This window comes from Homo sapiens, chromosome 13 (assembly GCF_000001405.40).
Source record: "Homo sapiens chromosome 13, GRCh38.p14 Primary Assembly".
In the NCBI taxonomy this organism is placed as follows: Eukaryota; Metazoa; Chordata; class Mammalia; order Primates; family Hominidae; genus Homo; species Homo sapiens.
The window spans coordinates 78,272,864-78,288,390 of record NC_000013.11 but is presented as its reverse complement, the minus strand read 5'-3'; the positions used below and the strand labels follow the sequence as shown (position 1 = coordinate 78,288,390).

The window sequence follows — 15,527 nt, the reverse complement described above, 5'->3', positions numbered from 1 at the left end:
GATGTGACCCCAAAATATGTAAAACTATTCTGTATCCATAATAATTAAAAATAGTTTTTTAAAAAGGAGAATTGTCAATATTTGAGACTCTTAAAAATTAAATTCTAACAATTCCTAATGAAAAGTCACTTTCTACCAAACTTCAACACCTGTTGAAACATTTGGTTTTAGATGGTATGTTGAAAATATGGTAAATTTAGTCTATTATCCAACAAGTCATAAGACATATATTGAAAAGTGAACTAATACATACACAGATATATTTGAAAACAATAAGGGGAACGCTTGCTTAAGAGTTAACAGATTAATATGTACCTAAAAAAGGAAAGCAGCTATGAAGAACTAGCAATGAAAGAGTATAACCATAGGCAAAGGCCTTCCCCAAACAGGCATATAACAAAATCTGAGAAGTTTAAAAGAGATATTTATCACAAAAGGTGACAGTGTAATAAAGTATCAGTTAACCTTTCAGGAAGGCCAACACTGTGAGAGAGTGATAAAAATCCCCCAAAATGAAAGAATTAACATACACAGCAGGGTATTAATAGAACAATTAGAAGAAACTTCAGAGAAGTATGCTTCATATAGTCAGAGAGATAGAGAAGTAAATCATTTTCATAAAACAAGATGAATTAATCATGAAAAAATAGGAATATACATGTATATCTATAAATGTATAATATAAAATTACTGAAATAATATTCAATAAATAATAAAATATTTCAACTTTAAATGAAGTCATGAGACAAAAACAATGGAAGGTGAAATATTAAAGAAAAATAAAAATACATGTAAGAGATTACTGAAAGGTCCAAACCTTAAAATTTCAGAGGACAGAAAGTAAAGAAGGAAAAGGAAATATTTAAGTCAATAATGGCCAAGAACTTCCCAGAACTAAAGAAATACACATGTTGTGAGGTTTGTAGCAAAAAATTTACACTACATGTATGAGAACTCTCTAGAAGAAAACTAAGCTTAAAATGGTAAGCGTCGAGAAGAAGCAAACACAAATTCTCTTCAGGGAACTAAACTTCAAATATAGGGCTTAAAGAATTCTCATAGTAAAATTCCAAGGAATATGATACCAATATAAAAATCACAGAACATTTTAAGAAACAAATCACTATCAGTAAGTCAACAAGGCAAGAAACCACTGAATCAGATCTGGAAAAATATGTCAATATTAAAATAATCAGATTCAAAACACAAAATAAGCAAACAACATGTTTCAAAATTAAGAAGTGAAATGGAAACATGAAGAGATTATCAAAAATACTAAGGCAGTTTTAAAAACATATGAATGGAATATAAGAAGTTGAAAAAATTGTAATTTGACTTAGAAGTTCAATAGATGGCATCAAATTAGACACCATTAAAGAAAGAATAAGAGAACTGGGTGATAGACCAGAAGGAATTACCCTAAAGTCATTAAAGAGAGCTAAAGATATGGAAAATGAGAAAAAGAGCGAAGAGTCATGGAAGACAGAGTAAGGTCTTGCATCTGCTTAGTTTCAGAAGGAGAGGAAAGATAAAGAATGAGGCAGAACTTTGGGAAACAGTTTGTAAGTTCCTCAAAATGTTAAACATAGATTTATTATATCACCCAGCAATTACATTCCTAGATATCTATCCAAGAGAAATGAAAACATGTGCATACACAAATATTCATACAGGCATTATTTATAAGAGCCAAATAGACAACCCAAATGTCCATCAACAAACAGGGCAATTAATAAGCAAAATATGGTATATGCATATGATGAAATTTCATCTGACAATGAAGTACTGACATATACTACAAGGATGCACCTTGTAAATATTATAGTAACTGAAAGAAGCCAGTCACAAAGGTCCATATATGGCATGATACCATTTATATGAAATTTCAGAATAGGCAAATCTGTGGAAACAGAAAGTAGATTTCTAGTTGCCAGGGTATAAAGAAGAATGTTGTGGGGAGAAGGCATAAAGATAATGGAGAGTGACTGCAAATGACAGGATCTCATTCTTTTTTTTAATGACTGAATAGTACTCCATTGTGTATATGGACCACATATTCTTTATCCATTTATCTGTTGATATGGGAAAACCTTATTTTGTAAAACAAAATTTTCTTCTGATCCATTTTTTCCCTGCATCCTAGGTGTCTGAGGGCAGATTCCTTTTGAGAGGCCTTAAATTGCAAGAGAAAGCAGTATTTTTCTTGGGGGCTTGTATTCTGGTTCAATTTCAGTCAGCAAGCTGTTTCCAGAGTCCACATCCAGAGCCTGCTCAAGTATAGTTGTCCAAAAGAGAAAATACATCAGACAGATTCTGGAACCTCTTCTTTGAAAAGGGGTCAGTCCTTGGATGAAGGATCATCTTTGATTTGCCTTGAGACAAGACAAATAATGGCCTCTTTTCTTCAATGCAGTTTGTAGGATAACTGTCTGGACTATAGTACCCAGTGGCACCTGGCTCTGCACATAGAATAACCTTGTACTGAAGATTCCTAAAACAGAATTAGGGACAATTTCAAGAAAATGCCACTGCATCTGTGCAACCCTTGTATCATGATCAGCAGGCTCCAGGCTTTAGCCTTCTGCACTATCACCTTACAATTAGCAAAGTAGCAAAGTGTCCTCTTTTTTAGAAAATATTCCCAAACCTTAAATCCTACCCAGGACACACTTCACAATTTTCTTTTTTTTTATTCCTTTTTGCCTTGAACGAACTGGGAATCAGGAACAAGGGTAAGTCCTCTTGTTAGATATTTGGACCTCAGAAAACACATCAACCACTTCCCACTTCCCTTTGGCTGTTCTGCCAAGGCCCTGAGCTGAGGAGGGCTTCAGACTTGCTTGGATCCTGCCCTTTTTGGGAGGCAATGGTTCAGTTCCAGAGACTTAGCAAAGTACAGACTAGGAAAGCTTAAGAGTCATTTGTATACAAAAAGTCCACCTTCAAGTCAGCTGACAACCTGGTATAACACATTGGCTTATAAAAGGCTTCTCAGTTCTCCTTGAAGAGGTCCTTCACTTCCCTTGTAAGTTGGATTCCTAGGTATTTTATTCTCTTTGAAGCAATTGTGAATGGGAGTTCACTCATGATTTGGCTCTCTGTCTGTTATTGGTGTATAAGAATGCTTGTGATTTTTGCACATTGATTTTTGTATCCTGAGACTTTGCTGAAGTTGCTTATCAGCTTAAGGAGATTTTGGGCTGAGACAATGGGGTTTTCTAGATATACAATCATGTCATCTGCACACAGGGACAATTTGACTTCCTCTTTTCATAATTGAATACCCTTTATTTCCTTCTCCTGCCTAATTGCCCTGGCCAGAACTTCCAACACTATGTTGAATAGGAGTGGTGAGAGAGGGCATCCCTGTCTTGTGCCAGTTTTCAAAGGGGATGCTTCCAGTTTTTGCCCATTCAGTATGATATTGGCTGTGGGTTTGTCATAGATAGCTCTTTATTATTTTGAGATATGTCCCATCAATACCTAATTTATTGAGAGTTTTTAGCATGAAGGGTTGTTGAATTTTGTCAAAGGCCTTATCTGCATCTATTGAGATAATCATGTGGTTTTTGTCTTTGGTTCTGTTTATATGCTGGATTACATTTATTGATTTGCATATATTGAACCAGCCTTGCATCCCAGGGATGAAGCCCACTTGATCATGGTGGATAAGCTTTTTGATGTGCTGCTGGATTCTGTTTGCCAGTATTTTATTGAGGATTTTTGCATCAATGTTCATCAAGGATATTGGTCTAAAATTCTCTTTTTTGGTTGTGTCTCTGCCCGGCTTTGGTATCAGGATGATGCTGGCCTCATAAAATGAGTTAGGGAGGATTCCCTCTTTTTCTATTGATTGGAATAGCTTCAGAAGAATTGGTACCAGTTCCTCCTTGTACCTCTGGTAGAATTCGGCTGTGAATCCATCTGGTCCTGGACTCTTTTTGGTTGGTAAGCTATTGATTATTGCCACAATTTCAGAGCCTGTTATTGGTCTACTCAGAGATTCAACTTCTTTCTGGTTTAGTCTTGGGAGGGTGTATGTGTCGAGGAATTTATCCATTTCTTCTAGATTTTCTAGTTTATTACCATAAAAACCCTAGAAGAAAACCTAGGCATTACGATTCAGGACATAGGCATGGGCAAGGACTTCATGTCTAAAACACCAAAAGCAATGGCAACAAAAGCCAAAATTGACAAATGGGATCTAATTAAACTAAACAGCTTCTGCACAGCAAAAGAAACTACCATCAGAGTGAACAGGAAACCCACAAAATGGGAGAAAATTTTCACAACCTACTTATCTGACAAAGGGCTAATATCCAGAATCTACAATGAATTCAAACAAATTTACAAGAAAAAAACAAACAATCCCATCAAAAAGTGGGCAACGGACATGAACAGACACTTCTCAAAAGAAGACATTTATGCAGCCAAAAAACACATGAAAAAATGCTCACCATCACTGGCCATCAGAGAAATGCAAATCAAAACCACAATGAGATACCATCTCACACCAGTTAGAATGGCAATCATTAAAAAGTCAGGAAACAACAGGTGCTGGAGAGGATGTGGAGAAATAGGAACACTTTACACTGTTGTTGGGAGTGTAAACTAGTTCAACCATTGTGGAATTCAGTGTGGCGATTCCTCAGGGATCTAGAACTAGAAATACCATTTGACCCAGCCATCCCATTACTGGGTATATACCCAAAGGACTATAAATCATGCTGCTATAAAGACACATGCACACGTATGTTTATTGTGGCACTATTCACAATACCAAAGACTTGGAACCAACCCAAATGTTCAACAATGATAGACTGGATTAAGAAAATGTGGCACATATACACCATGGAATACTATGCAGCCATAACAAATGATGAGTTCATGTCCTTTGTAGGGACATGGATGAAATTGGAAATCATCATTCTCAGTAAACTATCACAAGGACAAAAAACCAAACACCACATGTTCTCACTCATAGGTGGGAATTGAACAATGAGAACACATGGACACAGGAAGGGGAACACCACACTCTGAGGACTGTTGTGGAGGGGGGAGGGGGGAGGGATAGCATTAGGAGATATACCTTATGCTAAATGACGAGTTAATGGGTGCAGCTCACCAGCACGGCACATGTATACATATGTAACTAACCTGCACATTGTGCACATGTACCCTAAAACTTAAAGTATAATAATAATAAAATAAAATTAAAAAAAGATATACAGTAGTACTTTGCAGTTTACATTTTTTACACAAATGGTATAGTATTATGTATATCATTTGTATGTATTGTTACGTAACAATAAACTTTGGAATTCTATCTCAATTGATTAAAAAAAAAAAAAAAAGGCTTCTCAGGTCCAAGAGACATAGAATGAGGCAGGTAAGTCCCCCAAGGCACACTGACGACAGGACCTTTGAACTTGGTATTTGCACTGTCTGGTGTGCTCTAGGAAGCCATACAACCATCTTCCTAGACTTTTCTTAAATGACACTTTCTTATGGAGGCTACTCTACCACTCTTTTAAAAATTATAGTTCTCACCCCTATATTTTCTCCCTCCTTGACTTCTTTACTTTTCCTTATAGCATGAGAAATAATCATATAATACATTATTTATTTTGTATGTTATTTTATTTTGCATGTTTTCATATGTTTTACTTTGTATGTTTCAGTGTTTTCTTCCTACTAGAATCTACAACAGAATGTACGATTTACAAAGACAAGGGATTTTGTTTCTTTTGACCACGGCTGTATCCCCAGTTCCTGGCCCATGGGAGGGCTGTTAAATGAAATAAATGAACTCACAGTTTCTTAATTCTTTTTGTAAGGGGGATGGTTCTTCAACCGTGCTTTTCTTAGGTCTTTGATCCATTAATATCCCTTCTCTCTTTTACCTCTCTAATCTTTCCTTGACTTTCTCATCCCAGTCCACTGACAAACATACTTAACTACCCACTCCTTCCTTCAACCCTAACTCTTCCTCCTACTCACTTCTCAAATTTCATTCTCTGCCAAAATTCATGAACATGCATGCTGCATTTTCTGCTTCCACTCTTTGGTTCCATTTATCCCACCACTCATTGTAGTCTCTTTCTTCCATCCAATCATTTTATTTAGTTCTCATATTGCTGATACTTCTGCAACTTTTTACTGTGCTGATTATTTTTGTTTTATTTTAATTGTCCTCCCTGGGACTTGTGACATTTCTCCTCATTCTTACCTCTGTGTAAATTCTTTCTTCTTTTCTCTGATTGGTTTCTGTTCTTCTGACTGCCCCTTAAATTTGTTTTTCTCCAAGATGCCATCTGCAATTCTTTTATCTGTTTACTCTAAAAATTATATTTAGTGATGTCAACAGACACTTAGCTTTAATCATCAACTGCAATATACAATTCTTGAGTTTAAGTCCACTGCCTGGAGCTTTTTTTCTAAATTCTAATATTATATTTCTAACCAGTGTGCTGGTTAGAATCCAGTCGAAGAAGAAGAGTGTGGCACAGAGGACAAACTCATATACTGACCACTTCATTACAAAGTGATTAGTGCCATTGTAAAATGAAAGCAGGCTGCAATGGGTTCTTCCACTTATTAGCTATGAGACTTAGAAAAGTAATGTGAGCTCTCTCTGTCTCCTTTGTAAAATGAGAATAATAGTTGTATCTACCGGATGTGGCTGTTGACAGAATTAGAAGAAATAACCCAAGTATAGAATGTAGAACCATACCTAGAACTAAATGTTTAACAAGTGCTCACTACTGCTATTATTATTGTTGTTTTAAGTTTGTAGTACATGGGCAAGGCCTAGAGATCATTTAGGGGTTTAAGACAAGATGTTTTGTAAGACATTATCTGTATGCTGAATTCCAATGGATGAGGAGGAGATGAACCAGTTAAAGAAGAGTAGGAAAGACATTTCAAGCACATAAATAATGACACATAATACATTATGTAATGTGTCATTATTTATGTATTTATGCGCTTGAAGCAACATAAATAATGACACATATGATAGAAGCATATGCTATGTGAGAGAACAAGCTGATAGTAGATATTTCTAGAGCATAAATTTCAAGGTGCAGAATGTTCAGAGGTAAAATTAGAAAATTAAAAAGAGGCCAGGTCATGGAATACCATACTAAGGAATGTGGTTGTAGTCTACAGGTAGTCAAAAATTTAAATTTTAAACATGGAAATAATTAAATAACCTTTTAAATTCTAGATAGAATTACACTGGAAGCGATTTATAGCATGTCATAAAAATAAAAAAGTATAGTGAAAAAACTGAAAAAAAAATTATATCCATAATCTCACATGAGACATCTCTTAGGAGCTCCCCAAAATAGTGGTAGTTCGAGGGATGATGGAGATGCTATACTCATTGTCTGGAGCAGAGTCTGGAAAATATTGATTGTGATAGTCCACATGGCTGGATCAAACGCAGGTCACAGAATTAAGTCTAATGTGCCAAACAATAGTAGGTACGATCGTAGAAGCATAAGTAAAGAAAAATGGAGACAAAAAGACAGAATTAATTTAGAGAGGCGGGAACAAACATCATGAAGGCGTGTAATTCCAAGTGATACACAAGAAACATACATATGGAATATGGAGGAGTTATATAAATAGAAGTTTAAAGCACATCTTGGGAGTAGATTGCAAAAGGCATTAAGTATTTGGTCAGCAATGTTTAGTTTTCTTCTATAAAAGTTCAGAAATTATTTTATCATATTTATTAGTTTCTGAATGTGTTTTACTTATTGTCATGAAAAAATGAAATTTAAAAAATGGAACTGCCATGGAGATACACAAAATTAGATGGAGGTCAATTTATTTAATTCATTTCTACATTTTATGATTATATGTATTAGGTAGTAGATTTAAAATCTTCACTTCAGGAAATAGGAGGAAGAGAATACAGATCACATGAGAACTGAGGTCTTCACATTAAAATGTGTTTTACAATACATTCATTACATTTGTAACTGACCCATATAACGGATTGAACATGTTTATTGCAGTTATTAATTCGGAATGTCTACAGCATCAGGGTGGAGTAAGATGTCAGAATAATTTTGTGAAGTCTATATTCTGATTAAGAATATGAGTGCTGATTTGTTCATTCATTCAAAGTAATCACAGTCATCTTATGTTTATATGCCATATTAAATCATGAGAGTCCAGAGCATTTGGTAAACTGAAATTATTCTAGTGTTCAGCTATAACAATAATAGTACAATGTGAAATCAGATAACACAAACTACAGGAATCTGCCAAAATTTGAAATATGCCCATATTACGATACATGTTTTAAAATAAGTCCTGTGAGTTCAAATTAATAATCTTGTTTATATACAGAATAGCATCTTAGAATCACAGCATCTTAATAAAGTAGGAAGAGACCTTGACGATCACCTTTTCCAACCATTTCATTTTACAGATGAGGAAACTAATTTCTACGGTTTTGATTTCTTGCTGGTTCTTACTAAATTACATCATTACCTTCATGCTATTGCTTGCAAAAGTAGTATCATATTATTTACTGAATATGAATATGAAAAGTATGTATCACCACTACCACCCAATTCAGAAATTTAAATCCTAAGAGTTCCATGTATAAACTCCTCAAGATGGTGTCCAGTTCATTGTCAGAAAGCTCTCCTAACTGGGAGCCAGAAATGGTTAAGGTAAGGAGTGACGTTAGTGTGTAAAATGGAATGTTCTTCCCCAAACCCCATGCCCGATTCCCATGTTTTCTTCCTAAAGGTACAAACCTGTCTGCCACTGTTTAATCTAGAAAAAGAGCTGATGGCAAGTCTTTGTTATCATTTGGAGGGTCCAGATAAATAGATAATGCCTATAGATTGTCCAGACATTTAAACTGGGGGGTAATTTTTAGCACCTACTTGCATTTGTTGTATTAAAACTCTGCTGTGTTAATAGCAGTCCCTGAAGTTCTGAGAACTATCCAACTACACTGGCTAATTTAAACAACATCCTCCCCCTACATCCCACCATACTGCTTTTTTTCATTGAAAGTATTTATTCAAACTACTCTATGAGCTTCTGGCTATGTTTTGGATTCTATCTTCTCTTGACCACTTTATTTGCACTTCTTGACCCTTTCTATTCTAAAAGTCCCAGTCTACCAGTCCTCTCTTTTCTTGACCCTCCCAGAACTCAGAGATCTAGACTTTCTGTAAACTCGAGTATTTTTTAATCTCCATCTCATTTAATTTTATATGATCATAACTTTTCTTAAACTAGATTAAAAGCTTCTATAGGGCAAAAACCTGTATGTATTTCATATCCCTTGATACCTATCAGCATGCTAAGAATATTGTAGGTCCTCAATAAATGTTGGTGTTAAACCATGAAATTTTGTTTATACTGCTTAGCTAAAGTCTGTCTATACAGTGATATATTCTGAAAAATCAATATTTTATTAATTCAATACTCCATGGTATAGAAATGACTATAGGGGATTAATTTGACTAAAATAAAAGTTTTATATTATTCTTTAATGTTTTTCTGTTTCAGAGGTAAAGCCATAGATTCACAATGGCCAAAACTCATTCAAAAGGAGCTATCTTAAAAATAACATTAAAGGAAAATGTTTTCTATTCTAAAAAATCTGCATGTATTTCATGAATGAAGAACCATTTTCTTAATTATACCGATGAGACTGAAGAGAGATAGTGAGGTGTAATGTCATTAGCATGGGCTCACTAGATAGACAAGGGGTCAGGTTGCAGCTCACTTATTTATCAGCAGTGTGACTTTGGAAACATTATTTACCTTGCTGAGTCGGTGTCCTTATGTATAAAATGGTGACAATAATATGTCTCTCATTTTATCTAAGAAACTTTAATGGAATAACGAATGTAAATACTTAGTTGGCAGTACCTGCCACAACAAAACTTAGATCAAATTTTTAGCCATGTGTGCTGAATACGGGAGTTTTTAACATCACTACATTGATTAGATCTATATCAGACACACATACACTGATTGTCTCTTGCACGTATTGACATGCATGGAAAAGAGAACTTGCAGATAGAAAGGTTTGTTTAGTACCTCCATGGGCAGTGAGAGGAGGAAAAGAGTGATGGAGAGGTAAACATGACGTCTGTTCATTACAGTAGTAGCATCCAAATATGGCCATCAACCATTCTTCCCTTCCTAGATGCACATACCAGATACTCCTCACATTAAGAAGTGCAGTCTTTTTCCCTATCCTTTGAAATTAGCTGGCCTTGTGATCTGCTTTGATCAAAAGAACATGGTGAAAATGGCATTCTGGGCCTCCTAAGCCTAGTCTTTAAGAAGTATATCAGCTTCTGCAGTCTCCCTCTTGGAAAACTCCATCTTGGACACTAGCCACCATGTTGTGAGGAAGCCCATTCTAGAAGAGTGAATAAGTGGAGGTCACATTGAAAGAAGCCCTGGAGAATGAGTGACCCACCTTGGATATTCCAGTTCCAGCTGTGCATCCAGCTGAATGAACTCACATAAGTGATCCCAGCCAACATCATATGGAGCAAAAGAACTGTCCATTAAGGCATTTGCCATGCCTTAATTTCTGACCCACAGAATATTAAGAAATGATAAATAGTTGTTATTTCAAGCCACTAAATTTGTGGATGCCTTTTTACATGTCAATTGGTATTCAAAAAACTCCCCACACTTCAAAATTATATCCAACCTCTATTTTAAAAAGGAGATTTGTTATCCATCTAAGCAGAACTCAGGCTTTCTCGAGTTCAGTGAGGCCTTGAGGGTATGCTGTATGTTGTACAATGTGGGAGGATTTACAGCCTTGGGGGCCCTCGGGCATTGTACCCTGATAGGAGCATACTCCAGAGGCAAGGACAGCAGCGGGAGAAGAAAAGGGCCTCCCTGGGATGACCTTCCAGGAGACAACTGCTACAAGAAAGCCTATGTACAGTTAAAAGAGCACAACTGTCCCTGATCACATGGAAGCCTTCTCCAGGTGCTGCCACAAACAATGGGAAGGGGTCTTGGAGCAGAGGTTGGGATCTCTGACAAGTGCAGTGACAAGCTAGTAAGTGTTGTAAATATGATCTTGCAATGAATCAACCTGCAAAAAATGAGAAACCAAGTTCCAAAGGAGCAACTCTAATTGATTCAGCTTAGAATAGGCCCCCACCTTTGGACCAATTAAAAATAGGGGGATTTTACTGTATGAATATGGCTACTACTAGCTAGGCCATGGTACTACAGGGATGGGAGGAGTCGGGGGGAGTACATAACTGTTACTAGTTCCATTGTGTGTATCTATTAGAGCTTATTTTCTGAATTGCAATGATGTATTAACTTAACTTTTATTGAAGATTGGGATTGTCTCTACATCCCTAGAGCATGGGAAGCCCCCAGTACTGAGCCATTCAATAAACATTAGTTCTGTTTTTCCCTCACTTAACTGGTACATTCCATACCTGTCATTGCTCCTGTTTCTAGCAGTATTGCCATGTGATGTGGAATATTGGTGATAGTGAGTGAGGTGTATTTAGCACTTGAACTCTTTTCAAAGTACTTTCACATAGGTATAGAATTTATCTCTATGCAGTGATGTAGGCAATACCATTTTTCTTTCTTTTTTGAGATGGAATTTCACTCTTAACACCTAGACTGGAGTGCAGCGGCACTATCTCGGTTTACTGCAACTTCCACCTCCTGGGTTCAAGTGATTCTCCTGCCTCAGCCTCCCAAGTAGCTGGAATTACAGGTACCTGACACCACACCAGGCTATTTTTTTTTTTTTTTGTATTTTTAGTAGAGATGAGGTTTCACCATGTTGGACAGGCTGGTCTCGAACTCCTGACCTCAGGTGATCTGCCTCCCTCAGCCTCCCAAAGTGCTGGGATTACAGGTGCGAGCCACCGTGCCTGGGTAAGCAATATAATTTTAACCTCTAAGCAGAAAAAGAAGATTCAGAGAGTTTGTATATCTTGTATATGGATTTTCTGAAGGTCAGAGGAAGCTGGATCACTGTGTAACATCCAGTGCAAGAAGTCAGGAGTACTGGGTAAGGCACGATCCAAGACAGAATCACACATAAAGGTAGCTCAGCTTGGCTCTGGCAAGTTTCTGAGATGTAAGGTGAGGTGAATAATCAGCAGATTCTGTGATTCTGAGACTGAGAAGCAGAACTGGGCCACATGCACCATGCTGGTTGCTTTGAGTGGATGAAGAATTTTGTTATTAGCAGGGCTGCCCCACCTAAAACAGTTCCCAGCTGGAGTTTTCAAGAGAGGAATGTACAGCTACTTAAGGAAGTCTGACAGTATGGTAAGGCCATGACAGTGTTTGAGACTCAGAACGCCCTAAACTCTGGGCAGTTCTTTCAATCCTCATGATCTGTACTTATCCCAATTCACGCCATCTCACCACAACTGCAGATGTGCTTTGCCTCTTAGTCCAGGCTGACGTTTTTTAACTGTAAAACCCTGGGCCACTTTCTTAAACCTTCTGACACCTAGCTTCTTCCTTTGTAGAATGAGATCATGCTGTCTTTCTCAAAAGTGGAACAGTGGCTAAAACAACATGTAAAGCATTGATCCTAGTGCCTGGTAAGAGGAAGCCTTCCTATACTTTACTTCCCCAGCCTCTTCAGTGGCAGTAGTAAAAGATTTCAAATCCTTCCTGGTCTTATTACTTTATTAATAATGGAAAACTTCTAACTTGAGAACAATTTTTCTTCCCCTGAAGACTCTAGGCCTCTTGGAATATTTATTTTAGAATGAAGCTGTTGCAGCAACACATCACACCACATCTTAACTTGGGAAAGTTCCTTAACCTTTTTAAGCCACAGTGTTTGCATCTTTAAAATGGGTAAAATAATGACACCTCCTTCCTAGAGTTGTAATGATTCATTGTACACTTAGCATTGACGTAAATGTAAAGCACTTAGCACAGTGCCCATTGCATAGCAAGTACGCAATAACTGTTGACTAGTGTTATGATTATCTAAGCCTCAGTTTACTCACCTAGAGATTGGGTATTGGAATGTTTACTTTGAAGGGTATTTTGAGAATTAAAATGGAGATTGTTTATAGAAATATGTATAGATTAATAACCGGTACATTGTAAGCACACATCCAAAGATTATTCATCTCTTCTTCTTATAAAATAGTTATAATATTATTCATCTCTTCTTCTCATAAAATAGCTTATTAAAATAGGTGCCCAAACAAATGCAAATCTTTACTGTTCATAAGTACCAGTATTTATTTCCAATGGAAGAGAATTCCTGTTACCTAGGAATTAGGAGATAAGAATCTTTGGTTTTGTGGAGAAGGGGCAGGTTATCTAAGGAAAGGTAAGGTGATTTAAGGGTTTTAATATGCAAGGTCATATTCTCAACTGTGAAAAGAAACTTAAAATTACTATCTGTGAATCAATATGTATTAGGCTTTAAGGTGACACTATAAAACAACTGTCATAGGCTCTGATATCCCAGCCATACCCATGCAAGTGCACATCAACAAGCCAATTTACACCATGTGGTTGTAATCTTGTTCCATTTCCCTACATTTCTGAGAAGAAAGGAATTATTAATTGTTGTTTACTATGACACTTCACTATATAAGTGAGCTAGGCTACACTATAAATTCTGACCTGTGTTCAAAGATTGGCAAAAACAACTTGGCTTAAGGTGCTTTCTATTTGATTTTCTACCAAATCAGCAACATAAAAACTATACAAATGATAGAAATCAATGAGAAAACAAACCTCTTGATCCTTTCCAGAAGTTAGATGATCAACCATGTGGATGCAGGAGCTTATTTCTCTCCATCAAGCTAGAAAATGGGCTTGTCAATATTCAAAGGTCTAACTTTGTTATATGCATCAATTTTTGCTATGCCACAGTTACATGCTTTAGTGTTCTTATTGCTTCATCAAGATTACAAAAATACTTGGCCATGCATGGCCTGCCAAAATATGTGATTATCCAGTTTGTAGCACAACAACTTGTATTAGACTTTGATTGTTAGCCTGTAATCATTTTTGAGTAGTTACTCACCTTTATATAAAGAATTGCAGAATAAGTATTGTTCTTGTTATGAATCTTCTACACAGAAAGTACCCAAGAGGTAAAATATTGGCATCTAAAATTAAAGGAATAAAAAATGCATAAGCTGTTTAATGTATAGATAAAAGGAGAATTCAATGTTTTCTTCATAAGGAATTCATTTTCTAAGAAATAGCTTTAATTAAAAATCTCTGATAAATAAAACAGAATTTTAAAGCATTTTTGACAAAAGATTTAATAATTTAAAGACATTCGCTTCTTTTCATTTGAAATAATGTAAAAATGTAAATCTCATTTACTTAAATGTGATAACGTAGCCCTATACAATTGTCTTTAAAATGAATAAAATCCCCATGGTTATTTTATCGAACAAGACTAGGGACTTTACAGCAAAGAGAAATGAAATCTAAAGTACTGTGAAATAAAATCTGGTATATGATTGAAAGATAAATTTGTAAGAACATCTTCTAATGCTAATGAAGTATAATTTAGAAAAAAATTCTATAATCTTAGAAATTCTTTAACTTTTGTGCAGATAGATGGAGAGGACTACTAAAAATGCAAAACCTTGAATCAAGAGGTGAAATTTAAGAAAAACTAAGAGCAATTCAAAGAAATTAAAAAGGAAATGTTTACTTTGGAAGAAATAGCTATTCTGAAGCTGGCCTCCTGATAGGCGGTGAAGTTTTGCAAATGCGTTTTTTTATATTCCCATTCAAACCTTTTTACTCCATAGTTAATGAGCTAGGCAAATGTTTAATCCTTGCCTCATTCTGTGGTCAAAGGGAAATTTGCAGTTCATATGTATCAGTTTGTTACATACTCCAAGCTGTCGTTTGTTCTTAGAAATAGGGAAAGAGAAGAAAGAACATTAGCTCTTTCTTCCTATTGCCAGAATTTTTTCTTTTACTGTACCTGATTTTGTCTTATACAGAGAAAATACTCTGGTAGTTCAGAAAGAGGATGGGACAATAGGAAATGTTCAAAATGACTAAGGATAACATCTACCAGCATTTTTGTCATGCACCTTAATCTGATAACATCAAGGAATTTTCAAGAAATAGTTCTGGCTCCCAGAGCTGCTTAATTATATTGTAAGAGCTTTCTTCAACAACAAGGATGAGTATGGATAATAATAATAATAACGATAATAGCCTATACCAAAAATTGGTCTATAAATAAATACTTATTGCTTATCAATTCTCACACCAATAATCTGAATTTCTACTGAAATGCCATTTACTGTATTCAAAATGTGTCACAAAATAATAAAACATTAATTATTATATATTGAATGTTTATTTATTAGGAAACCCTTGTTGATGTAGGACAACATCATTTAGTCATTATGTTTTGTTTTGTCCTTAAAGAATCTGCAGAAAACAACAGATGAAAACAAGATTTTTAAAAAAAATTCTCCACAACTCTTTTATTCATTAGGTACATAAGGAATAACTCCTGAGAA

The 15,527-nt window shown here is 35.7% G+C and overlaps 1 long non-coding RNA gene and 1 pseudogene across 1 annotated transcript in view; both read right to left on the bottom strand.

Annotated features, from left to right (window-relative positions):
- The window catches only part of OBI1-AS1 (OBI1 antisense RNA 1), a 562,471-nt gene that overhangs the window by 328,935 nt on the left and 218,009 nt on the right, over positions 1-15,527 (bottom strand). The window contains exon 3 of the long non-coding RNA NR_047001.1: positions 14,054-14,138. This is a non-coding gene — a long non-coding RNA (OBI1 antisense RNA 1). The remainder of the gene's footprint in view (positions 1-14,053; positions 14,139-15,527) is intronic.
- Positions 2,103-2,553, bottom strand: SRGNP1 (serglycin pseudogene 1; annotated as a pseudogene).